The following is a 27,961-nucleotide window of genomic DNA, read 5'->3' as shown; positions in this document are numbered from 1 at the left end:
CTCCACTGCGCCTGTGCGGCCAACGAGGCCGCGCGCAGGCGATCGGGGCAGAAGAGCTTCCGGTTCCTGCTGTCAATAAGACGTGGACCTGCGAGCCGGGGCAAAAGGGCTTCCGGTCTGCGGGAAACTGGAGGCTAGCGGTGGGCGTGGACCGTCGAGGTGACTGGCGGTTGTCGGATCTGCTGTTGTTTGCTGACCAGGCAGCCGTAGGTAATGACGGATGCCCAGACCCTGTGGGCGGAGTAAAGGAATCATGCACTGATACACGCACACTCACCGAGGGGCGCGTCCGTCTGCGTGCCCCTCATCTCGTAGCCGAAAGGAGCGCGTTCCGGGGCAGGCCTCCGGGTACTTCCCGCAGAGGACCGGGCTTTATACTCTTTGCTCCTTTTCCTCCCCTAGTAAGTCATAACTTATTTTGGGAGAAGGGCATAGTTATTTGTCTCTCGTCTCCATGCTACAGCACTTTATGTGCTTTTCATTCAAAATCGTTCCTCGAGGACGACCAAGTAATGTGATTTGGGGGACAGTTTTCATAGGAAGGGCTTTATAAGTTTACACCAACATAAAGAAAACTTAAAAACCTTATAACCGCTTATTTTTCAGAAGTATTATTTTTCATTTAATCTAAAACCATACTTTTAGAACATGAAACCAAGCCAAACAGATCTTTGCAGATTGTGCAAGCGAACTTTTTTTTTTGAATGAAAGTGGTGCCATCAATGCAAAAGCAAGCCCATATAAGTGCCGAAAGGTACTCGTCATAAGGAGGAGTTGCTTCCCTATTCTGAATTTTTATTTATTTTTATTTATTTATTTATTTGAGACGGAGTCTCTCTCTGTCACCCAGGCTGGAGTGCACTGGCATGATCTCGGCTCACTGCAACCTCTGCCTCCCGGGTTCAAGTGATTCTTCTGCCTCAGCCTCCCCAGTAGCTGGGACTACAGGTACATGCCACCATGTCTGCCTACTTTTTGTATTTTTAGTAGAGATGGAGTTTCATCATATTGGCCAGGCTGGTCTCAAACTCCTGACCTCGTGATTCGCCCGCCTCATCCTCCCAAAGTGCTGGGATTACAGGCGTGAGCTGCCCCCTGAATTTGTTTTTTTTAAGCAACTCTTTTTAAAAAGAGAGAAAAAATAATCTCTCTTGAGTGTATTAGTTATTGAGCTATTCCATTTGGAGGTGGCTTAACCCAAAACGTGTATGGATGTGGTAAGATTACAATGGACTTGAATGTTCTAGATGAAATCTGGGCCGAGAGTAATTGCATAATAGTTTTCCAAAGGACTGTCAGATGGTAAACTCCTTTCATTTACTTTGAACTGATAAACGATAAGATGGATTTTTGTTTTTTGACCTTTTTATCTACATTTACTTCTGAAAATTGAAAAAGAATCTGAATTCCAACAAAATGTTTCTAGGCAAGTATTTGCATGATGCTTCTCTAACATTTCCTATATCTTAGTGTTTTCTCTAATGTTTTCTGTAGCTTTCAAATTTCACTCCTGTAAGTTTTTACACTACCAGTAAGAAAGATCTGGGCCAATTATACAGAATGGACGATGATTTTTAAAAGAATAGAGAAAGCATTCAGAAAAGAGACAATAATTTGAAAATGTTCTGACATCATGTATTTCCTTAAAGCAATACAAGTCCTGTATGTCCAGTTCATGTCTACTCCAACCGAGCTTTTTTCAGACACTTAGAAATTGCCTTCAAGAAAATCCTTATGGAACATTGTAACCTAGAGGGGCATTTATTTTCGTTTAAATATGTATTAATTGCAAGTAGTGACAGAACCTAAAAAGCAAAAACCATATAGCACCAGTTCCAAGGTTCCTATATCTAATGCAGTTACTCCTACTGCAGTACAAGGAGGAATATAAAATCCCTAGGAGAAATACAAAAGGCCATTGTCTTCTTTGACCAGATTTGAGGAAAGTTTTCATGGAAGATGTGGTCTTTCAGTGGGCGTTGAGGGTAAATATGCAGATATGGTTAGCCTGTGCATTCTGGTGGAAGCTCAGAGTTGGAAAAACATGAAACAGATTGCAGAGTCTGGCATGTACAAAGAGGTATGGTGAGACATGTGAGTTCTAAACATCAGGCTCATGAATTTGGACTAAATTTTTGTTATGGAAACATGGAAATCCTAAATTAATTGATGCCAGAATATAAATTGGTTAAGAACATCAAGAAATCATAACAACTGAGTTATTTTGAAGTTGGTGTAATGTGGTCAATGGAACGCTGGTGAATGATCCTTGAAACCTGGATTGTATTTTAGCACTAAGACAGTATGCGTGTAATCACTTGCAATAAATTCATTTTTTTAGGCTTTCTTCTTTTCATCTGTAAAATGAGAGATTGGTTTAGATGATTTCTGAGGTCTTTTTTATAGGTAGAAGTATCAACAATTTGATAATTCTTGACCTCAAGAAAGGTTTTTTCCATTAGCTTTATATGTTGTTTGGTCTCCCAACCAAGAAGATCAAAGATAAGTTAGAAAACAAAAAGCCCTTTACTTAGCTAATACAAACACCCACAAAAGTTTATTGACTTTGTTGGAGTGAGATATTGTAGGAGTCACATTAATTATTGCCTACAGGTTGATGACTAAGCCATTCAGTAAGCCTCTAAGAACCTTGGACTTGGAAACATTACCCAAATTAAAAACATCCAAGATAATTTTTTTACTATTGCAATTTTCCTATTCAGTAGCTAGAACCCCACACACTACAGACCATTCTACTTTTTTGGTTTTGGTTTTTGTTACGGTGTTTTGATGTGAAATATGTTTGAGGGACATAGAAAGTCAAGGAATTTTGCTTTTTTGAGAGATCAGAATGGATTATTTACTAAGCCAGCTATCACCTGAGCACCTGGCAGGTACCAGACACTTGGCACTGGACTTTAGGAGGAAATCAATACAGACAAGCCACATTCCTTTGTGAAGCTAGAGTCCTGTGGGGGAAACACAGTAAATGGTGGAATTCATATGTAATTACAAACTGAGACAAGTGCCATGAAGATGGAACATCTCCATATTGTGATGGAGAATAAAGGGGAATACCTGGAGACCATGCGTGAGCTGAAGATTGAGAGGGATCTGCTAAGAGCAGGATGAAGAACAGGTGTGAGGGCACAAAAGCTGAAAAACTTGGTGCATTCTGGGAATTGAAAGAAAGGCAGAGCTGGGGGTAGCAATTGAAAAGAAAATTGCAAATTGAAGTTGTATTTTAACATCATGATTGATGGTAATCACTTTCTGTGTGCCAGGCACTGTGCTAAGTTAAATCTCATTTCACATGCTCAAAACCCATTTGAAATAGATACCAAATAGCAGATGAGAAATTAAGGCTAAAAGCAGTGATTCTTAACTTTGGCTGCATATTAGGATCACCCATAGATTTATTAAAAGTTCTAGTGCCCGAGCCCCACCTGAGCGTTGAGAATCACTGACTTAGTGTTAATCAGTCCAAGGTCACTTCATAGCTAAGTGGCAGAGAAGGCAGAAATTGAACCTAGATCTATTGGATTCTAAACCCTATGCTCTTAGTCACTCACTAGTGCCCTGTCAACATTCACAAGCACGTAGTAAGCAGCAGTTACATGTGGGAACTCTGTTAAACACTGAGACACAACAATGAATAAGACAGATCTCTTGCCATCAATAAATTCACAGCCTGGAAATGCAGAAGTTAGGTCAGCCCACCTCTACAGAAGCAAGTCAACTGAGAACTCTCAATGAGATCAGATATATTTTTCCTATTTTAAGCTAGATTGATGTAGGCAACTGATGACAGGGAATCTACGTGGGCAGCTAGTGCGATTGTCTGCTGAGAGGTGGTGCAAACTTAACAAAGGCAATGGCAGAGGATACAAAGAATCATCAGGACTTGATAACTGCTAATGTTAGGAGTGAAGAAAAGAAGGTGGAAGTTGATTTCAAAGTTTTGAGCCTGAGAGACTGAGTGAAAGTAACATCATTGATCTAGAACAAGAGTACAAGAATTGAATTTCAGGTTGAGTGAGTTTGAAATACTTGTTGAACATTCGGGTAAAAATGTCCAGTAGAGCAGTGGAAATGTGCATCTGGAGTTTGAATCCCCAAATTGGTCTAGAAATGAAGATCTGGAATTATTGACTTAATAGGAGGTAGTTGAAAACATGCCTTGCATAAAGCGTATGCTGTGTTTGGAATTTTTTAAAAGACAATAGAGATACGAGAAAGAAAAGAAAAACCCTGACATTGCCATACTTGAATATGTCAATAAAGCTATTTTTTATCTACAGTGGTATTAAACACAATCAATTCATGATTATCCATGATGAGTTTTTAATACTTTCCAGGCTTTCCTTGGCCACATAGCAAATGTAATAGATGAGACATAGCCAGAGAATGCAAACCAATTTTAAATATTGGCTAAATATTTAAGAATAATGCTATATGATGCATTCAGAAATGTAATAGGAATATCCTAGAACAATGTTTTCACACAAATAATTTTTATGTACCCCTCATACTGACTTAAATTATTTTGATCATAATATTACTTAAACCTAAAAAAGTTACAATGTTCTAAACATAAAACTAGAGAGAGAATTCTTAGGCTTAAGCTCATATACATCATAAAAGCAAAATATTTGCAAACTCACTGTGAAGAAAAGCATAACGTAAGTAAGCTTAAAAGTATAGTAATGTAAAGGACATCTTGAAATGGATGTATAATGTCATCAATATTGAGGTGGATGGTAGGGGGCAGGGGGAGGTTTGCACATCAACAGCTCCAAAAAAGGAGAATGAGGACATTTATCTTTTAGTGGCATAGCACTTTGGGGGCATTTTTGGATGGGTCTGTACAGAAGCAATGACACCTAAAGTCAATAAATTGAATGTATATAAAGTCAAATGGTCGCTGTAAGGCTTGGTATGTATCATCAGGCAACAAATAAACTAAACAAAGCCCAAGCGAGGTCACTATGGATGAGCAAGCAAATGCAAAATACACCTCTAAGACAAAGCTACTGAGGTGTAAAACATCAGAGTGAGAAGACAACTGGAAAGATTACAGACTATAAACTCTTTGTCACAGAGGCAATGATAGAGACCCAGAATATAAAAGCGACACTAGCTATTAATTATTACAAGGGCCCATACAATTTGAGGTCAGAAAACATAACAAGGTGTTCTCTAAAAGATTTTTGTCCTGCTAATTCACCGTACTGTTGTTTCATCTCTGGGACACGCCATTCAAACTGAACTCACACATAATGGGGTTTATATAATGTTAGGTCCCTCCCGAAGACAATGTATGTATTCTTATCTCTAACTGAACTTAAGCTAGACTCATGGTTGTCTAAGAGTGTATATTATTTTTATAAGACACTGATGGAAGTAGCAGAGAATTTCCTCTGACTTGCTAATTATATGTATGTATACATTTATATGCATTGGTTCACAAAAGCAGAGGGTTTCATTTGATAGCAGATGAAGGACACGATGATCCAATAATTAAACTTACCCAAAAGAAATATGTATAAAGCTAGCTCATGTAACAGACATAAAACACACTATAGAAACTCAAGGACTTGAATTTAGATTTGTTCTGGGATTGAGACTTGCCAAAACCAAAAACCATCAAAAGAATTTCCCATCAAAGTAAAGAAATTATGTGAAATGATTTTAAATTTAATACTCTTGGAATTTGAGAAGCATTACTTTTTTTAAAGGCTAGGAATTAATACTTTGGTAATGATTGGAGAAAACTGAAAGAACTTTAAGAAGCAGATCTTAGATTTATAAAATTAATTTTGGTATTGAGCTGTAATAGAACCATCATCAGAAAAGCCATTCCAAACTGAGAAACAGTATGTGTAGCTCATCAATGGCCTGAAGACTCCTGGTGATGTTTAATATTCTCAGAGGATGTATTAGCTACTCTAGCTTCAGTGGATCCCATTTCTCCTTTTGGAGATTGATCCAGTGTCCTCTCCTGGAAATAAGAGCTCAGTTTTATTTGAGGAAGCCTGGGGCATGTGCACTGTTTAGAATAAGGCATATCTGCCTTGCAGGCTGTGCTCTCCACTACCAGCTGCATATTCTTGGACAAGTTATTTCTCTGTTCTTCAATTTCTTCATCATACAAGTGCCTCCTGTTGTAAGGAGTAAGTGTGATAAAGTAGTGGTAAAAGGTCATAGTTTTGCAGATTTATTCTTATTCGCTTTAATATTATCTTTGACAAATGACCTTCCTATGTCTGTTGAATGCCTTCAGTTTGGGAATTCCTCACCTCTTGAGGAAACTGCTTTTATCTTTGCATAGGTCCAGGTACAAGAGAGTTTTTCCTAGGGTTCAAGTCTCTCCAGCTTCTTTATGGCTCCCACACATTGCCACTCAATTCTGTGTGCCAGCCTTTAAATTGTTAAATCTGCTTCCTGCTCCATGCTCCCCGAAGATCCTTGTCATGTCTAAATATACCCAATTTCTTTAGTCATTTTCCATATGACTTGTTCTCCATCCCTTAACCATAGTAGTTGCTTTCTTCTGGATATGCTTCAGTCTGTCACTATCCCTTCACAGGACCACTTTCAGAACAAACACCAGAGCTGCACCATCACATCTTTTGTTCTATATACTTCTTTTAACATAACATCCCATCACAGTAGCATTTTTGTCGGCCACATCCCACTATTAAGTTGTATAGAGCTGTTAAATTTAGACAACTCTTAAATCCTTTCCATGCGCACAAACCATATTCTTTCTATCCTGTTCTTTTATTGTTGGGGTAAAACTTTGGGGGCATTTGGATTTTTTTTTCTATTGGGAGTGAAGGCTAGGTCCTAAACAAAAGGGCTTCCCTGTTGAATTTCTCCTTTTTAAAACATGTCCATAGTTACTACCTATCAAGATACTTTTGGTACAGATTCCAGCATTCAGTATAATAGTGCGCATTGCAACCTGCGTCAGCACGCCATCCTGCCATCAGAACCTTATTTGTAATAAACATTTTCGATAATGCAACACTAAGGACAGGGGCCTGTGGTGGACTCTGGAGGTGTGCCTTTTGGTTAACATAAATCCATTCATCAGAAATCATTATTTGCCTACAGCCATTCTCACTATGTGCCCAGCTCGTATTCAGAATCATGTCATTAGAGATTGGTAAATTCATATAGAAATTCAGGTTAACCACTTCATCTTCATTAACTCATGCTGACTCCTTTGCTGAGGCTTATAAATCATCTCTTTGAGGATTTGTTCTGAAAGATAACCCAGATCTGATGCCCACCTACCTAGCATTCACAGGATTCACCTCTGTTTTTAGAAGAAGACATTTACCCATTTTCAGGATTCCCTAATTCTCAAGATTCTTCATGATGATTGACAGGAGTTCTGTTTTATCCTAAAGTTCTTTTAGTGTCTGAGAAACGTAACTCATCTAGGTTGTGAGACTTACACACAGCTTCAGTAGCCAGTGCTTACTTATAGATTCCTCACCTACCTTATTTTTTAAAAACCAGTGTTAATGTTGCCCTTCTCTATGTGACAATTGTTCATCTGGAGAGAAAATAGGAATTAAAGCGGTTAGGGAGTTCTCCTTTCCTCCTGTTATCTGTTAACATTGTGAGTGTCTAGGACTACCAGGCTCCTTTGACCTTGGGAATATTTCTGTGTCACACATAAAAATGCGCCCTGTATGGCTCATCACATCAGTCCTGACCCAATTACACTGGTATTGTTTGTAGTGTGCAGTCATGAATGCTTGCACTCCACAGCCTAACCTGTTTCCAGCCTGACCTTAATACTTACTTTCATCTTTCATCCTTACTTCACTCCTTAGACCTGATACTTATCACACTTTGAATTTGTTCTTCGGTCTCCCAGGAGTAAATGCCTCACATCAGCAAATGTGTGCTTTTCTCTGCTCTGACATTCTCACCAGGTGTTTCAGTTATTCATTGCTTTGTATCAAACCAGGTAGCAGCTGTATCACCTCTTAAGTTACACATGGGCACTTCTGCCATACTGTGTTGGCCAACCAGTCACTGAGATTATCCCAGAGAGGAGAAAAGAGGAGATCTGGACTCCACCTTTCAGTGAGAGGAGAGTGAGAACATTTGCGGACAAGTTTTAAAGCCTCCACACTAGGATTAGCAGAGCCCAACAAACAGAGCCTAGGCTCCATGCAGTAAAGATATTTGTTACTTGTTCTCCCTTCTCCGTAGAAGTGTAGGCTTCCTTTTACTAACTTAGCATTCTTCATATAGCTCACTTACATTCTGGACATTAGCATCTAATATTCTTACAGGCTTATATTGCTACTTTATCTTTAAATGTGATTACTTGTCTATTTTCTGTTTAAATTCATCAGAGAACATCCTCTGAGCCCATATTAGTTTCTTAGGAGCTCCTCCATTGCTTCCACCCCACTGTATTGCCAAAACTTAAACTTTGAAAATATTTAATTTCTTTTCTTAGCACCCCTTTAAATGGATTCTACTAATCCTTTTCTTATTCTCTCTGTACAATCCACTTTTACACACTAGATATTCGCATCTTGTTAATGCTTGCCATCCCTTTCTTAGGCTGAAGAGGGTATAATGGAGTGGTTAAGAGTCAGACAGACCTGGGTTTTAATTCCTGCTCTCCCTTAATATCTGTTTAATCTTGAGAACATTATTTTACATCTTTGAACTTCAATTAATTTTATGTGATAATTGGAGATTATGAGGGGATTAAATGACAGTGGTATTGAGGAAATATAAATACATAGTAGGCACTCATTAAATGGTAGCTCTTACCAATATTCATCTCTTATCTTTTTAATTGACAACTGCAATAGTCTCCTCCATTCCGTGCTTCAGTTCCACCTAAAACATACCAAACACCCTGGCAGGTGATTTTGTAATGTCGTTTTCTTTGTGAGTTGTTGCATATGTTTCTGCCTGGTTTTTGGTTTTTTGTTTGTGTTTTAGACGGAGTCTCGCTCTGTCACCAGGCTGGAGTGCAGTGGTGCAATCTTGGCTCACTGCAACCTCTGACTCCCTGGTTCAAGCAATTCTCCTGCCTCGGCCTCCCAAGTAGCTAGAACTACAGGCACATGATACCACTCCTAGCTAATTTTTGTATTATTAGTAGAGATGGGATTTCACCATGTTGGCTAGGATGGTCTCGATCTCCTGACCTCATTATCTGCCCGCCTCGGCCTCCCAAAGTGCTGGGATTAAATGCGTGAGCCACTGTGCCTGGCCTTGCCTGGTTTTATCAACAATTTTAGTGAGTTCTACTAGGGTCAGATTCATCCACTCTTTCTTTTCTTTCGTAATCTTTCTAGCCCCTAGCTCAGCTCCGAGCTAAAATGTCTAGAGGTGCATCCTAGATTATATAACTGCCCCCACATTCAACAATTGAGTGTCAGAGCCGAGACTGACTGTTGCCCCAAATTCTCTCTGCAAATAGCTCTAAGACACCTTCCTACAGGGAAGCTAATGTAGAGGAATGTTGCTTGTCTGGAATGATTGCAGTGCTTGCAGGTGTATAATTAGTCACTAGTCAGTGTATAAATATGCTGTAAATTGCTTTATTTGTTAATGTGAAAAGCTCTGCAGAAATACAAGGTATTATAGGAACCAAGGCTGAACATGGGAGATAAGGTATTGTGGGAGAAGAACAAGTGAGTGAGGCATCAGTGTGTGTCATATGTCCCTCTGCTGGGATGAAGCTTATAGGTTCTCCCCGCCTCGTTTTCTAAGAACACCGACTCCCCTGGGTGAATAATTTAAAGGACAAATTACCACTCTTCTGGGTACCAAAGCCAGCCATAAGCTGAAATTAAATTAAATCATAAAGCCCTACAAGAAACTGAAGGAAGAGTCAGAAATGTAAAACCAAGGGAATCGAGAGCTAAGGATGAAATATGAGAGTCAGTGCGATGTCCTTGCCTTCCTGTGCTGATGAAGTAAAAAACTGAAAACCACCCTGGTACAGACCTAAAGGACCACGATCAAATATCCATTGTTAAGTACTTGGCAGTGGCTATTGCAATGATTTCAATTCCGATGGGGTATTGGAGGGAGGTAGGAGAGAGAACATTAGATCAACTTCAAGTCCTTGTACTTCAGCTAACTAGCTAGGTGACCTTGAGCCAGTTAGTACCCAATCTGGACCTTTGTTTCCTTCATCTCTCGGTTGAAATAAATGTAATCAGAGTTTGTGTTTCCATTTTTTTCCCCATATCAGCTCAGCGATCATAGTGAGCTAATAAAAACGCATATACAATTTGCCAATTAAAAATATAGAAAGCTCATTATCTCTTCTCAGAGCACAAGCCCTATTACCATAATGAAAAGTTCCCCTGTACTCCTTAGTAAGAGACCAGGAGATAGAAGGGCAACTGTGGAAATGGAAGACCATAACGTTTTGTTCTAAAACACTGTGTCCTCATAGTTTCCTCCAGAGGGAAACGAGTATATACCTGGTGGCTTAGAGGGGCGGGAATACCCTGTGTCCAGGAGGCAAGCAGTACTTTGAATGCCCAAGATTGGCTTCTGAGAAAGAAACTTGGCATGCTTATACTGCAAATCTAATGATCTAGTCACTCTACATCAATGGAATGAGAGAGAATTATGAAATCGTTTATTTAATCTCTACAAAGCAAGGACTTTGGTAAACAGTTTAGCAGCTGATCTGCTGCCAACGTGGAATGTAGGTTGGAAACCAAGTAAAAGTTGAAAACGGAGCAGATGTTGTTTTCTAGGATGCTATATCACCGAAAGGCCTGAAACACATCCTAGGTCTGGCATATTAAGCTTGACTCTATCAACATCACAGCTAAGCCTGACCAGCATTTACTACCATGACAGTATCACAAGAACAGCAAAACAAAATTCTAAAATTAAATGGTTCTTTCTCTTGCTAGAAAGCTGTGCTTGACTTCTTGGTGTACATGGATAAAGGCTACAATGAAGGAAACATTTTAGAAATACTCGCCTACCTGGTAGTCCACAGATCTTTAGATTTCATTGGCCAGCAAAATCTCAAAGGAAGAGAAAGAGAGAACAAGAGAGACCATCATATGGAAGACAAATTTGATGCCATCACTTCAAAATGAAAACATCTGGCTCACGCCTGTACTCCTAGCACTTCGGGAGGCCGAGGCAGGCAGATCACTTGAGGTCAGAGTTCAAAGCATCCTGACCAACATGGTGAAACCCCATCTTTACTAAAAATACAAAAATTAGCTGGGCATGGTGGCAGGCGCCTGTAATCCCAGCTACTTGGGAGGCTGAGGCAGGAGAATTGCTTGAATCCGGGAGGCGGAGGTTGCACTTTCACTCTACTGTCCTCCAGCCTGGGCGACAGAGAGACACCGTCTAAAAAAATAATAAGAAGAAAACAACTATTATCTACTACCACTATCATTTATAAAAGGATGTTTTAACACTAAAACAAGGAAGGACACTGTCTCAGAATAAGGGGTAGTCCTTTAATTGCTTTGATTTAGTTATTGGACATACTGACTACATTGCCCTTTAGTTTTGTTAGTAGTCATGGAGCAGTGAAAACTTCATCCTCAAGCAGAATAGTTCATCTGTGTGCATTTGGAAAGCCCTGCTCTTTGGAAGATCCTCTTAAATCTGGAAAGCCCCCTTCTCCAAAAATCCCAGTCTTAAATTCCCTCAGGGCCCAACTTTGAACCTCATTTTTACTTTGAAGGTTTTCTTGGTTACCTATTGACCACAAGGATCTTTCTACTTTCTGAATTCCTGCAGCACCTGTAATTTTAATACATAATCTAGCATTTTTATTTCGTGGGAAAGGTTTTTGAAATGTAGAATATTTTGGAGATAACGTTTAATTTTTAAGTAAACATTTAAAAGCTTTATTACCAACTGATAGAGCCACAAGTTAGACATTTCTTTAAAAAAATTCTAATTTAAGAAGGAAAAAAAGTATAGAATTTTAGAACAGAGATGAATCTTCCATTACCCAAATTCATCCGAAGTTGGCTGAGGTCTTTTATGGTTGACAGTATAGAATCCAATATATTTTGATTGGTAGACTAGACTTACATTAAGAAAGGATCATTAGCCTTTGGATTTTAATGTTGTCTCTTCTCTCCATCTAGATAAGTAAGCATCAGAACAACTCGTCTACTTCCTGTTTCAAATGCTCCGATATTCTCATATAGCTAGAATAACAGAATCCTATGTAACAGAAATTGATCTTAGAGATTATCTAGTCTATATCCTTAACAGATGGAATATCTGTAGCCCAGGTATAGTGAAGTGACTTGCCCCAAATCCCAAATCGATCAGAATTAGAGTTGGGATTTCTAATCTCTGAGCTTGCAGGTATTTTAAGTATACTAGTCTTATATCTCCGTATCTCTAGATATACAGTACATTGCACACCATGGTCCCTAAACAAGATTAAAAAGACAAGTTTTCCCCATCCCCTAGGCTATCCTTTTCACTCTTGTTTATTTCTTCTTTCCTTCCTTGGCACCTATTACCTCTGACCTCTCCCCACCCCACCCTACTTCCAAACCCATTAAAATCTAGGTTCTTAGGAAAGGCTATGAGAAACTCATCTACACAGCGTGAATTCCTCATAATTGTTCATGGAGTGTTTGCTGTGTGCCAGACATTTTTCTGGGTTGGCTGAATGTGGGACTTCTCCTAGAGTACTAGCAATTTTACAAGGTAGGAAGAAATAAGCCAACAAAGTGAATCTTCATTCAAGGCACAAGGGAGACTTCTTATTTCTTTGAAATTACCACATATCAGCAATGATTTTACTTCTAAAATCAGCCAAATTCTTCAGAGTTGGAAGCCTGCCCTCCTTTTGTCCCTCCACTACAATTACCACAAGACTTAGATATTTAGAAATATTTACAAATTCATATTGACAACGTAACAGACCCTTTTTCATTTTCCTAATTGGGAACTAGTCTTTTCTCCCTTAACAAAAACCAAAGTGTTAACACTTAAATGCAGGTTTGACATATTTTAAATATTTTTAGATGTTATTCTCAAAACCATGTAGACCCAATCCTAGAAATGAGGGCTCCTATCTCTGGAACAAATTTACTACATCATCTTCTCCAATTCTCTAAACTTGTCTGGCCACAAGTTTTCACATTTGTGAAACAGAAAAATTGTTCTTAATGGAGACTGAGGTATTGGAGGGTTGGGACCACACCTTTTAATCTTCTGTATGTTACCACACAGAGCCTCGTCTCGGGCTCTGCCCATGCAGATGCTCAGGAAATGCTTGCTAACTGAAGATTTTTATGATCACTGATAGAAAGACAGCATAAATGCAAAACACGATTTTTCCCTTGCCCCAAGTTACCCAGGAGCATCATTCTCATTCAGAGATGACCACATTTCAGAAAGTGGGTCTCATAAAACATACAATTTAATGAAGCCATCTGGGAAGATGATCATCATATAAATGCAAGATATTGATATTATCTGGCTACTTGGGGAAACACCGTCTAAATGAAGGCGCAACTCAGCTCCATAATTCAAATCTAGTATTGATGTACAAGGTCTTTGGATAATGGACTTTGCAGATTGACATTTCTCACAGATCTGAGGCTACTTTTCTCCCCTCCTTTGCAATTTTACTATATTTGCAGTAAGATTTTATTTTACTTTTTGGAAACATCTTTTTTTTCAGTAGGAATCTATCAGTGTCAACTGGGAGTCTTGAAACAGAGATTTTACATCTGTCTTTATTGATGTTTTTAAGCTTCTCTTTTTTTGAAGCAAGAAGTGTTGCAAATAACTAACATAGGCATTTCTTTGCTGCTCCAGTAATTATATGGGATGTTGTTCAGTTATTCAGCTTCCCAATTGATTCAGCTGCTTTCTTTTCTTTCATATTCTAGCAAGAAGGCGTGCTCTACTTCTGATATTATCTGGAAGACTGTTCTAAATGAAGCCACCGGGTAATCTGTTCTCCTCTCTTAACAAATGTTACCTCCTTTCTCTGAGAGATAATTGCTAAAACAATACCAAGTTCAGGCATGCCAGCAGTCACACAATGATAACAGCCAGCAGGCTTTGGCACTGTATCTTTTATGTAGTCTGAGAAAGGGATGGAGAATTCCCTCTACAATTAGGACTCTGTCTCACTATCTCCACTGAAGAAATTACCATTGGCATTGAGGCAACAGCTGCCCCCACTGTGTAAACCAAAGTTCTTCTGGGGTCCTCACAGTCTCTCCAGGAAATAATGGGATCCAGTATTTGTGCTTGCCTCTCCTGAAACACTGAGCCTATTTGGCCCTGGCTATCCCCAACCACCCCCTCACCACACACTCACCAAATAATATGTGAGCACAGTCCATCACCACACTCTTCCTAGAGGTTGGTGGAGCTCATGGACATTGTCTGAGCATGTGTGTCATGGGTTTGCTCACCCCAGGAGCCACACATGGTGTTCAAACATGGTGTCCCTTTAGAGAATATGTATGGCAGGGCTTAGAGGTGCAGAGGCAGAGGGATTGTTTCACATGCTGTGTCTGGCTGATGACTGAGGTGGGTGGGATACATAGGGAGCTGGCAATATATTCTTGATCTTTAATTCTTTTCATACTCACTAGAGAAATTCCTTTTCCCACTGCTTATCTTCTTGCATCCCTAAATCACAGGCTAGAGGTAAGTGTGTCCAGAGCTGAGGGACAAGACACTTGCATGCTTTATATCCCAAGGGAGAGTTTGCATGCTCAAAAGCAGGGTAAGAAGAAATTCCTGGCCCTCTTTCTCCTTGGCCTCAGCCAGGTACTGTCACTGCTCATCCCTGATGGGAAAGGAATATTCAGAATTTCAGTCTAATAAGGCTGTTGAGAGGTCTAGAGTCTTAGAAGTCACATTAGCAAGTACATTCAGTGAGCGCCGTGGGCCAGATATGGTGCTAGGTACAGAGCAGTGACATCACCAAGATGGTTCAGTAGGAGATATTAGCCTTCCTCTCCCCACACACAAAAAACAAATGCAGGTGACCATTGCACAATGCAGGGTTAAGGGCACCAGCTCCCCGCATAGTCAAAAATCCATGCATAACTTTTGATTCTCTCAAAACTTAACTACTATTACAATAGCTTACTGTTGACCAGAAGCCTTACTTATAACATTAAACAGTTGTTTAGCACATATTTTATATATGTATTATATATTTTATTCTTACAATAAAGTAAACTAGAGAAAAAAATGATATTAATTGCAAAGAAGAGAAAATATATTTACTATTCATTAAGTGGAAGTGGATCATTATAAAGGACTTCATCCTCCTCATCCTACATTGTTGAGGCTGAGGAAGAGGAGAAAGAAAAGGGGTTGGTCTTACTGTGTCAGGAGTGTCAGAGGGAGAGGAAAATTTGCATATAAGTGGACCGGCATAGTTCAAACCTGTGTCATTCCAGGGTCAACTGTGTAGAGGGCTCAAGGGCCTATTAAAAAATCTGCAGCTATGCAGGGGAGTAAAAAATGGCAAATATCTACACAGTAAGGTGCTACATATGGGTTATAGTAAGGAAAGAAATCCAGTTTGTGCCTTCGAAGAGTTCTCAGCCTGGTAGGGGACTCATAGCAGATTTTGTATATACATCTGTTAATATTCTCAGCGTTAATCTTAATTTTAAGAGTCTCCAAAGTTTTTCATGTTGCAAAACATGAAACTAAAATTGCAAAGGTAGTGACAAAAATAGTCTAAATACTCCTAGGGATTGGAACTCTAACATAGAAATAGCAAGTAGAGAGATAATTCCATCCAAATAGCTGACTGTATCATATCAACGACTAAGATGTTGAGAAAAACAGATTTGCGGCAAATAAAAGACATATATACTAGGGAAAACCTTTCCATTTCTCATGAAACATTAGATAATTATGGAAACCCAACATTATTTATTTAATTATTTATTTTTTGAGATGGAGTTTCGCTCTGTCGCCCAAGCTGTTGTGCAATGGTGTGATCTCAGCTCACTGCAACCTCCGCCTCCTGGGTTCAAGTGCTTCTCTTGCCTCAGTCTCCCGAGTAGCTGAGATTACAGGCATGTGCCACCACGCCTGGCTAATTTTTGTATTTTTGGTAGAGACAGGGTTTCGCCATGTTGGTCAGGCTGATCATGAACTCCTGACCTCCAGTGATCTACCCGCCTCAGCCTCTCAAAGTGCTGGGATTACAGGTGTGAGCCATCACACCTGGCCCAAACATTTATTTTTAAAAGGTATCTTTATATATAGAGATTGGTCATTCAGATAACCACTTTTTTTTAGCTGATTTCTATTCAGAGCTAGGTTGCCACAGTAGGAAGGCAAAGAAATCTAAGACAATCTTTTCCTTGGGTCACAATATTAGTGAGAAGATGAAGTTTTTGCATGTGGAAAAATTAAAGAGATATTGATTCACACTGTAAAATGCTTTTAAAATCTTTTGCCTGATATCTAAAGATTCTTTTGAGGAAAAAGATGTACAACCATAACCAAGAAGTTAAAAATTGGACTTAGGGACTTTTTGTAGTTAATTGGGGGACAGAGGGATACACATAGTGACAAAAGACATAGCTGATGAAGTGCTATCTTACAAACATAAAGGAAAATCGTTTCTAACCATTTTTTCCCCAAGTGATTTTCTGCAAGCATCAAAAGTATTAATGATACTTACAATGATATAAGGATTCATAATTCATCATTAAAATGTTAGGGAAATGTTGAGCCAAAAATGGAGTTGTTTCAAAAAAAAAGGAATTAGAATTTTTTTTAAATTTTCTCTTTATAGCAAAACATTCAGACTGTATGGCAAAGAATAGAGAGAAAAACAAGTCACTCATAATCCTGCCACACAGAGATAATCATTAGCATTTTGGTGTATGCTCTTCCAGACATTTTTCTATGTATGTATACACAAATATTAACATACACTTTTTAATACAAAAATGGAACCACACCAGGCATACTGCTATTTAATGCATTTTCAACTTAATATAGCATTTTGCATATCAATAATACAGATTTAGGGCTGGGTACAGTGGCTCACACTTGTAATCCCAGCACTTTGGGAAGCCAAGGTGGGAGGATCACTTGAGGTCAGGAGTTCGAGACAATCCTGGGCAAAATAATGAGACCCCCACTTCTACAAAGAATTTAAAAATTAGCTGGGCATGGTGGTGTGCGCCTGTAGTCACAGCTACTTAGAGGCTGAGGAGTGAGGCTCACTTAAGCCCTAGCGTTTGAGGCCACAGTGAACTATGATTGTGCCACTTTCCTCCAGCTTGAGTGACAGAGTAAGACCCTGTCTCTAAAATTATAATAATGATAATCATATATACTTAAATTGGTTTGAGCTGAAGAGTGTTCTCAAAACTCCATGTCCACCTAAAACTTCAGCATGCAATCACTTCATAGGTGAATAATGAATACTGATGGTCTACAAGTTTTTTGATCATGCGCTCCATTAGTTAAAAAAAATACACTATGCACCGTCAATAGGTATATTTATTTATAAGTTATAAACATGTACTATTTTGCTATATGCACATTATGAAACAATCTCAAAAATAGATGTTTCATAAAGATAAGATAAAAGTTTTAAAGTTTTGGCATTTTTTCCCCAGTCTAGTGGATCTTCTTGAACACCCCCCACCCTAGGGTTCACATAAAGCACTTTAAAGATCCCTGGTGCTACAGTATTCTCAATTACAAGGTGTTATAGGAATGGAATGGGTTCAAGAATGTTCTGATCATCCGAATGTGCGTGGAACCAACCAGCAAAATATTTCTGGAGGATGCAAGGATCTGTTTGGTATAGGTTGCTTGTTGTTTCACACTTGCTCATTTTTCCAGATTCTGTTCTACAGTTATCCCTGCATGAAACTTCTCCTGTCATTTCAGGTAGAACTGACAACTGTCTCTTTTGGATTGTCCTATCCCTATGCAGATATCCACGTAACGTTTATAACACTTGATTACATTTGTTGGTTTCTGTGTCTCTCTCCCCATCTGGATTATCAGCTTCTCCAAGGCAGGGATCATGTCGTATCCTTCATTAATTTGCCAGTGCTTGTTATCTAGTAGGTCCTTAATAAATACTAGGCGAACAAGTCGACAGAACTAGAGAACAATGCAGTGCATAAAAATTAGGATGTCCCGAAAGCATACAGAAGAAGGAAAAGAAAATTCTATGAGATGCTACCTAGAGCCTCTTCGACATATGATTATGTTTAATTAGATTATAATGTCTGACTTGTTTGCAGCAAATTTCACAGAATCTCCCAGTGAGTTCTCCAGATGCTTCAATGAAATTCATGGTTGCTTTGCTCCTCTGCACAGCTCTTTCTCCGCTCTACAGATGAGGGGAGTTAGCCCTGGATTGGGATATTGATGTACTTGCTAATCATACATTTGTTTTCCCTCTAAGCTTAGTCCTGCCTGCCAAGAATAGCTCAAGATGACAATCATTTTCATGTTTTCAGTCAAACAAAGGCTCCAGACAGATATGAAAAAAGGAAACAAAGCCAGAAGTTTAACATCAACAAGAAGGAAAAAAGAAGAAAATAAGTTTAAATACTCTGCTCTCCATTTTTTGCTATCATATGTCAGCATTTTAGTACTCCTGTTCACCCACAATTGCTTGGCACATTGGGGATGAGGAGTGGATAGACTTTTAAAGTAGCTACAATAAATAAGAAGGCTCAATTCTACCCTTTGCTTATATCCCTCAAGAGTCACTGGAGTTTTTAAATCCCTCTCATTCTCTCACCTCTGTGTGTGCCCCTGTGCATGTGTGTCTCTGTGCATGTGTGTTTCATGTTAACTTGAAGCCATGACTAGTAACTGTTACCAATATTTATTTCCACATCTGCTTCCCTGAATTGTTGTTTTCCAAATTAAGTTCTATGAGATGTTCATAGACACTACATGGAAGAGGGTTCTGTGGTCAAATGTTGGGAAAAGTTATAGTTGTACAAGTTAAAAAGATGTCTTTGCAAAAGGATTTCTCATGCCCTTTAATGTAGCAGTGTACCTTGTCAATCTTCAAGAGGAAGCATGGTTTGCACCAAAGAACCCTCTTTCCTGGGATCATCTGGGCAAACTAGTATTCTATTGATATACTTTGAGAAATGCTGCCAATTTGACTTAAGGGTTTGGCTTAAACTGGGAGCTCTTGTCATCAGAGACACAGACATTCAGAATTACCTTGATCACTTGGATTGGTGACCAAGCTCCTGACAATATGGAGAAAACATCACAAAGAAACACTCCCAAATACTCATAAAACTTTAAGTCATCCCTCCTGTGGGCTGGCATCTCTATATTCTGGAGCCGGAAATGCCAATGCTGCAGAAAGAGATAGGCTAGAAAAACAGCCAGGTGGAAAGGCAAAAGGACCTAACCAGGGCACCATGGTTTTAGGAAAATACAGCTGAGGACCTGACTTACACACATAATTTCTGGGCAGTTGTCTAACAGAAGTGGAATGCCCTTCCTTCTTGGGTGGCTTTCACGGAGAGGCCCACTTTTTCCATTTTTACTCCAGCTAATCACTACATGGAGCCTTCCTAGAACATGTAGCTTTTGTTTACACTGTGCTCCCATCAACAATGTCTCCTCTTTACGCTAATTCCTACATAGTCTTCAATCCCCTGCTACTGCATGAAGACTTCCCTTTCCACCCACTGTAACATGTCGTCCTCATTTTCCTGAATATTCATAGTATTTAACATGGATACAGAGTTCAGGAAGTATGGTCCTCTGGCCAAATTCAGCCTACCACCTATTTTTATAAATACAATTTTATTATAACACAGCCATGCCCGTTCATGTACATACTATCTGTGGCAGCTTTCTTGTGACAATGGCAGAATTGAGTAGCTAAGACAGAACATACAACATGCAAGCAAACATATTTACTATCGGTCATTTACAAAGAAAACTTGCTGAACTCTGGTCTATACCATTTCTCTAATAATCACATGCAGCCTTGCTTCTTATTGATACATATACTTCAGTGTTTCCACAGGTCTTCTCAATGAGTTTCAAGCCCACTAAGAGCAGGGCTATGATTTGTACTTTTTGAGTCCTTTGTAGTATCTAGCACAGAATAGGTTATCAATAAGCTAGCTAATTGATTTTTTAAAGCACAATTAACCCAAAATTCCCTGCAAAAGAATGCTTATTCCTGGTGCCAACAAGGAGAAAGTAAAATATGTCATGTTGTTTTCATACCACTTCAGTCTAGTGGTTTGAGATGGGAAGTGTACACAAGCTGTTTACGTTGGTTAGCTTCAAATTTTCTCTGAAAATAAGATAAACCTCAAAGGGGTGGCAACTTACAACCACACATCACTTAACCATGGGGATATGTTCTGAGAAACACATCATTAGGCAATTTCATCATTGTGTGACCATCATAGAGTGTACATACACAAACCTAGATGACACAGCCTCCTACACACCTAGGCTGTATGGGATAGCCTATTGCTCCGGGGCTGTAAACCTGTATAGTGTGTTACTGTACTGAATACTGTAAGCAATCGTAGCACAATGGTAACTATTTGTGTACCTAAGCATATCGAAACATAGAAAAGGTACAGCAAGAATACAGTGCAAAAGATTTAAAGTGGCACACCTCTGTAGGGCACTTACCATGAATGGAGTTTGCAGGACTGGAAGCTGCTATGGGTGAGTAAGAGTGCGTGGTGAGTGAATGAGAAGGCCTATGGCATTACCGTACATACTGTAGACTTCATAAACACTGTACACTGAAGCTTCATTAAATTTATTTTTTAATTCTTCGATAGTATGTTAACTTTAGTTTACTGTAACTTTTTAACTTTCTGAACTTCTTTTTAAGCTTTTTGACTCTTTTGTAATAACACTTAGCTTTAAAGAGTATAAATGTACAAGAAATTGTATATCCTTATTCTATAAGCTTTTTTCTATTCTTAAATATTTTTTAACTTTTTAAATTTGTTTGTTAAGATCTAAGACACAAACACACACACCAACCTAGGCTTACACAAGGTCAGGGTCCTAAATATCACTGTCTTCCACCTCCACATCTTGTTCCACTAGAAGGTCTTTAGGGACAGTAACATGCGTGGAGCTGTCATCTCCTAGGATAACAATGCCTTCTTCTGGAATAACCTATCTGAGGCTGTTTTACAGTTAACTTTTTAAAATATAAGTTGAAGAGTACAAGTAAAATGACAAAAATACAGTAAAGCAGTAACATGTTCATTTATTATCATTATGAAGTATGTACGGAACATAACTGTATGTTATTGTGTGTGCTATACTTGTATACAATTGGAAGTGCAGTAGGTTTGTTTACACCAGCATCAACATAAACATGTGAGTAATGCATTGTGCCACAACATTAAGATGCCTATGACACCACAAAGCCATAGGAATTTTTCAGCTCCATTATATTACGGGGCCACCATTGTGTGTACGTCCCATCACTGACTAAAATGTTGTTATGCGACACATGACTGTATTTCTCCATGGTAGCTGGGGAAACATTATCTTTTTTTACACAAATTATATAACCTTAGTACTTTTTCCATAAACTATACAGTACACTGATTCCAACTGCCCCAAAGCATTTACAATCCCCTCTCTCGCCACACACAAGACTGAAGCTCTCCATGTATACTAGCAGACAGAATGTGGACTGGCAAAAATTGATCAATACAGTTTTCTGATGGCCGTCACGCCAATCTTCCTAATGGCCACTTGGAATCCCGGTCCAGCTCCGTGCATCTGGTGGAATGAGTAGCCTGGCTGAGACCTATCATCCCAGGCAAGACTGCTCTCCAACTGCCTGTCGTCTTAATGCTGGAGGATGCTTACATAAATAAACCTCCAATGGATCAGACTGGAAGGGACAAGAAGCTCTTTGCAAGGCCTTATTATCTATTCTTTAGACCTCTCCCATGAACATTTGTCAGGGCAAATGAAAATCCTAAGCTAAAAGTGCCGAAAGAAGTCTCTTTTCAAAAAGTCAACCAGGAAATCCCCCTCTTTATTAGTGGCTTTTATATGCTCAAGGTGGGGTTAAATCCACCACTGAAAATGTCTGTTTAGTTTGTTCAGTGCCGAGGAGCAGGACTGAAAGTTGTGTGTGTGGTTGACACATGCATATGTGCATTTTCATGGCTCCGAGCAGTTGTATGTGCTGGGCTGGATTATTAATTGGTGTAAAGCCACCTAAAATTTGTTCTATCCACAAATACAATTGCCTCAAAAGAGGAAAGACAAGATTCTCACAGCTCTCCTGCCGCAGGTCACCAGCTCCAGCACTTCCGTCAGAGTGACTCATCTTTGTTTCCGAATAAATGGGAGCATTGCTTGGGGTTAGATGTGATGGGATCCTATCCTGGCCTGCCCCTGTTCGTGGCCCAAGCAAAAAGATTATGATTTTATTTTCTATTGTGAAATTACAGAAATAGATATATGTAGATCTGTAGAAAGTACGCTTTTATAGTACTAACAATTTTCTGTAGTTACAATTTTCATGGTGTCTACTGGTTGAGAGATGATAGGACTTATTCATGGAATTTACACTCTGGTGGTTTGATAAATATATAACATGTTGAAAGGGAGTTTCGTGGAAAAGTAAACGTTATTCATCAGGGTTTTAGTTTCTCTTATATTTGCTTTCAGCTGAGAATATTGTAAGTTGTTTGTTTGATTTTTATTTATTTTTTCATTTATTTGGCTTTTTTCTAGATGCTTTACCTAATCTAATCCAAATAAGAACAGCACTTAACAACTCTAAATATGGCATAGGGGGAAATATGTATATCCTTTTCTTTATATTATCTTTTGTTTCACATGCTGAGGGCTGTGGAAGGCAAAATGTGGTGAGGTGCTATTTTATAGCATGGTTAATGCTTATCAGTAATTTTTTCCCTCTGACCTTCTGCCTCAGACAATTAATTTTCTTGAACTGCTCACACACTGGCAGAACATGGAGGGGGGATAATGTTAGTACTAGTGAATATAATCTTGGAAGAAAAGCTGTGCAATTATTCAAAGACCTAATCTTATCTCTTGTTTCATTTTTATATCACAAGTCTACATTTAAAAGTATTAGATATCCTGTTCTGCTGTCCCACACCTTCAAACCTCAGTAAATAAATGCTGTTAAGTGCCACCAGGAGTGAAAGAGCTTGTAATGAGAAGTGTGAGGAGATATGTGCTCCATTCATCATTCTGTTCAGGCCAATATTGAGGCTCTTGTTATCAGCAGGATTCGTGGCGATGTCATCACGGCTGGCATAAATCTTCTGTCAGTGTGGGTCGGACTGATGCCCTATTAAAACCCTGCTTTCACCTAATCACAGAATGACCTTTCGATGTCTTTAATTAACCTCTGACCTGAACCATGCCAATGTCTTGTTGGTAGGTAAATCTATGGCATGACATTTGCTTATGACACTGCATTTGTCTTGCTTTAATCATCATAGCTTTCAGATTATGGCTTGAATGAAATACAGTTGGGATCCCTCTTAATAGTTGGATTAATTTTTAAAAGGTTAGAACATAATATTTTCCTCTGAGCTCCCAGTGATATCTTTGCAGACATTTTGCTCTAGGGAGTTAGGGTTCTCCATTAAAGTAAATTCAGGTGAGCCTTCAATTTCACCAATAACAAAATCTTTTCTACCCAAGTTATTTTTTTTTAATGACCTGGGAGTGGGAAGCATTCTAGGTCCTATGGATGACCAGAGGACAAAAGTTTTAAAACATAATGTAGCCTCACTTGTCCAAGACAATACAATGCAGCAGTGGCATGGAAATAAAAGAAATAGAAATAGAGACGGGGGGAAGGGAGAGAGAAAGAGAAGACTTTTATTTCACTTGGGGAATGTGCTTTTCTACCCTGGAATATGTGTGCCTCAGGTCCTGAGACTTCTTTGGATAATAAAATATCATTCATATCTCATTCTTCCACCAAGAGGAACCTTGTTTGTAAACTCCTATCTGAATTAGTTAATATCACAAATGTAAAATATTTATAATGAATTATACTGTTCCTACATACAAATGTAGTTATAAATTGATTGAAATGGCTACTAATTCACTCAAATTGAGTAGGTTGTTCAAAATAGCAAGTCGTGATTGGCCTACAAATCATAACATATGAATAAAATAAAAGTTTTGAGCTACCTAAGATTTATCCAATTTTATACTCAATCCGAAGTCCCATGAAGAGCTTAGACCAGATAATCTCTCAGGTCTTTTTCAGTTGTAAAAGTCTATGATTCAGTGTCTCAATATTACAAATTCTGGGTTTATTGAGTCTGAATTCAGAAAGTTTTCCTGTCTTTAAAATATAATTCAAAAGTTATGCCGTAAAGACTTCAAGAGCTGGGAAGTTTTCAAGCATCTCACCTGACTTTGCCCTGTTCCCTGCCTCTTTCTCCTACTTGAGCCTTTGTTGACTCACCTGTAAAATGAGGATAATAATACCTACCACTAGAATCGCTGTGAAGATTAGAGAAAACATATATTCCACATGTTAAACAGTGTCTGGTGTGTAGTAATGCCCAGTCCATGGAGGATGCTGGTGCATCTATTAGTATCTGCTGCACTTGCCAATAGATGTTACCTTTTAGGCCTAACTTAATCTCTTTTCTTCTAAAATTATACAATGTAATGGTTAATAACTTTGGAGTCACTCCTGGGTTCAAATAACCGCTATATCACACCAATTTATGGGCTGTATGATCATGAGCAATTTAGTTAAGCTTCCAATGTCACAATTTCTCATCTACAAAATGGGAAAATAATTGTGCCTAATTAATAGACCTATTAAATAAGATAATGCATGAAAAATACCATGTCTGATTTTGCTCAAGAGCTTATCCCCATTGCCTAGTATAGTATCTGGCATAGAGCAAGCACTCAACAAATATTAATGAAGATTTAACTGTTTTATATAATTATTTTATTATTTAATTGTATATTAGTATTACATAGATATTACCATCATCATCATTGTAATCATCATCAGTAAACTTGTACTATTGATATCTCACAGCTTCCTTGGTGTAGAAGTGGTAGTCACATATTTAGACAAAAGTAGATTTTAACATTAAATGTACATGGACCCAAAGAGGGGAACTACAATAGACACAGGGGTTTACTTGAGGGTGAAGAGTGGGAGGAGGGTGAGGATGGAAGAACAACCTATAAGGTACTATGTTCACTACCTGGGTGATGAAATCATTTGTAGACCAAACCCCAGTGGCATGTAATTTACTCATGTAACAAACCTGCACCAGGTAGCCCCCAACCCTAAAATAAAAGTTGGAAGAAAAAAAAGTGGGTTTTGGTTAGGTCCTAGGCTGAAGTAGGAAAGTAATGTTTACTAATGATATCATCTATTCTGTTTAAATATTCATTTATTTAGGAAGACTTGACTGAGCCAGGCTCAGGGGATGTGCCAGGCTCTGGGGATACTATGAAAGCTAAAAGATACACAATCCCAGCTGTCATGGAGCAAAGAGTTTACGAGAGAGAGACTGATGCTAATCAAAGAAGGACACTAACAAATGAACCATTGTATAGCTTTGCCAAGGACCGTGAAGGAGAGAGACACAGCTCTGTGAAGGGGCTTTGATGTAGGGAGGTAAGTTGAAGTCTGAAGCAAAGGATGGAAAGGCCTGACCACATGGGGGCTTGTATGACATGTTTTGAAATGTATTTAATAGGGAGTAGGGGATTGTATCATGATAAAGTGTGTGTTTCCAAGAGCTTACCCTGATTACAATATGGAAGGTGAATCAGAACAAGACAAGGAGTTATAGGGAGATGTTAATGTCAATGATTTTGTACTACAGAAAATCCCAAGGAGGTGGTCTCCATGGTAATTCTGTCTTTGAATCTCAGCAGAAAGTTAGGTTGATGCATTGTTCATAGACACCAAAAAGATAAAGGGGAAGAGACCACTCCCCATGCCCAAATATACAAACTTTTCTTTTCACTATTAGTATCAATACTGAGGACAAGAGATACCACATAGGTCTCTGAATTTATTATTCTTCTCTGCCAATTTTACTGTGTCCACAAGAGAATAAAGCTATCCATATTTCCTGTTTTATATTATGGGCAGTCACATGCCCTCTAATTGGAGGATTGCATGCCAAGCCAATGGCCTGGCCTCATAAAACCTCACTAGCTATTATACTGATGGGGCCAGACTATGATGCAGAGTTGTGAAACTTATCTCTAAACCTTAGGTCCAAAAAGGACAGAAAAAAATAAATCATTTCTAGCTAGAGAGCTCTCATGGCAACCAACTTCTTAAAGGAGTAAGGCAATGAGTTTATTCATATTTCATCCTGCAAATATTTATTCAGCTCTTATTATGTGCCAGCCACCTCTTGCTATATCATGACATCTGCTATATCATGTGATTTAAGGGGGAGGGCTACCATTTATGAACTGACTGTATACTTTATATAGGTTATCTGATTTGTTCATCAAGACAACTCCACAAAATAGAAATTATGACCTCCACTTTAGGAAAGTTAGGATTTAAACCTAGATCTATTGACCACAAAACCCTTCCCCTTCCATTACACCATGTTGTTTACCAGAAAGGAGTCCCTTTTCAGAGATAACTCCCCAAGGAGGCCAGAAACTCTGCCATTAGTGAGTTTCCTTTGTGCCAAGATTCATCCTGTCTCCAGTACCCTCTTTTTAAAAACCACAGCAGGATTTCTCAACCTCAGCACTACTGGCATTTAGGACTGGGTAATTTTTTTGTTGTGGGGGCCATCCTGTACCTTATAGGATATTTAACAACAACACTGACCTTTACCCACTAGATGTCAGTAGCACCCCAGTTGTGATGACTAAAAATGTCTCTGGACATTGCCAAATCTCCCTGGGGGAAGACAAAGCAGAGGAGGAGAAGGTAGTGTGAACGGCCAAGAAAGCAGAGTTGCAAGAAAGAAATGATTGGCAAAGTCAGCTGTTGCTGAGAAATTGTGTAAGATACAGACAGGAGCAAAATGATATTTGAGTTTGGTGATGAAGAGATCCTTGGTGACCTCAAGTAGGGCAGTGTCAGAGGGCTGGTAGGGGCAGGAGCCTGAGGGTGGGGAACATGTGGAAAGCATAGGAGGAGGGTCAGCGGGGAGTGACTCTCCTTTCAATAAGCTTGAGAATACTATAGAAGTGAGGCTGTGCCAGCTCTGGGCCCAGGACTCAAGCTTCTCGTTTCTGAATCTTGGAATACTCTCTCTGGGGTCCTGAGCAGCCATATGAGACGTTCAAAAAGCCTGAGACCACCATACGGTGATCATGGTCTCAAATGAACCCAACATTTCAGCTGTGCCTGCCAGGCAGCAGACGTGCAGCTGAAGCTGTCTTGGAGCCTCTAGACCAGCCCATCCACCTGCTGAATACCAGTGAGTGACCTACGTCAAAGCTACTAGAAGTGGAATTGCCAGCTGAGCCCTGCCTAAATTTCTGAGCCACACAATCGTGAGATACTATAAAGTGGTAGGTTTTATAGCAGTGTGTTACCCAGCAGTATGGACCTGGAACAGACTACAGCACTAGTCCTGCTTTCCCTCTCCCAGTCAATACAAAGACAGGGATGACCTCTGCTCTGAGAGTAGCTCCTAAGCATGTGTTTTGTGTCATGGTGATGGTCAAGCCCTCAGACTCTAGAGTCGTACAGACCCAAGGTCAATTCTTACCCTCTCTACTTCGTGGCTTTGTAAAATAGGGATTTTTACAGGTTCCATTCAGAGAGATGTTGAGAAAGATTGAGTGAGATGCATTTATGTAAAGCACTTATGCAGTGCCTGCCACAATAAATGCTTGCTAAATGTTAGCTTTCATTTAAACCATGAGTTTTTCTCTCAATGGACGGCAAATCGTCACATTCTGTGTAAAATGAGTCTGACTTCACAAA

General features: G+C 39.1%; 1 long non-coding RNA gene across 1 annotated transcript, besides 2 other annotated features; it reads left to right on the top strand.

Annotated features, from left to right (window-relative positions):
- On the top strand, positions 30–27,961 carry LOC107985940 (uncharacterized). The gene is made up of 3 exons (XR_001739662.3): positions 30–210; positions 25,445–25,663; positions 27,384–27,961. It is a non-coding gene; the product is annotated as an uncharacterized LOC107985940 (long non-coding RNA).
- Positions 36–225: an enhancer, noted in NCBI's record as "active region_16440". NCBI's record gives its function as "activates an Ori minimal core promoter by ATAC-STARR-seq in GM12878 lymphoblastoid cells {active_cell/tissue: GM12878}" and the evidence as "EXISTENCE:reporter gene assay evidence [ECO:0000049][PMID:35858748]".
- Positions 236–285: an enhancer, noted in NCBI's record as "active region_16439". NCBI's record gives its function as "activates an Ori minimal core promoter by ATAC-STARR-seq in GM12878 lymphoblastoid cells {active_cell/tissue: GM12878}" and the evidence as "EXISTENCE:reporter gene assay evidence [ECO:0000049][PMID:35858748]".

The sequence above is a fragment of the Homo sapiens genome, chromosome 2 (assembly GCF_000001405.40).
Source record: "Homo sapiens chromosome 2, GRCh38.p14 Primary Assembly".
Lineage (NCBI taxonomy): Eukaryota > Metazoa > Chordata > Mammalia > Primates > Hominidae > Homo > Homo sapiens.
This window is presented reverse-complemented; position numbering and strand designations above follow the sequence as displayed.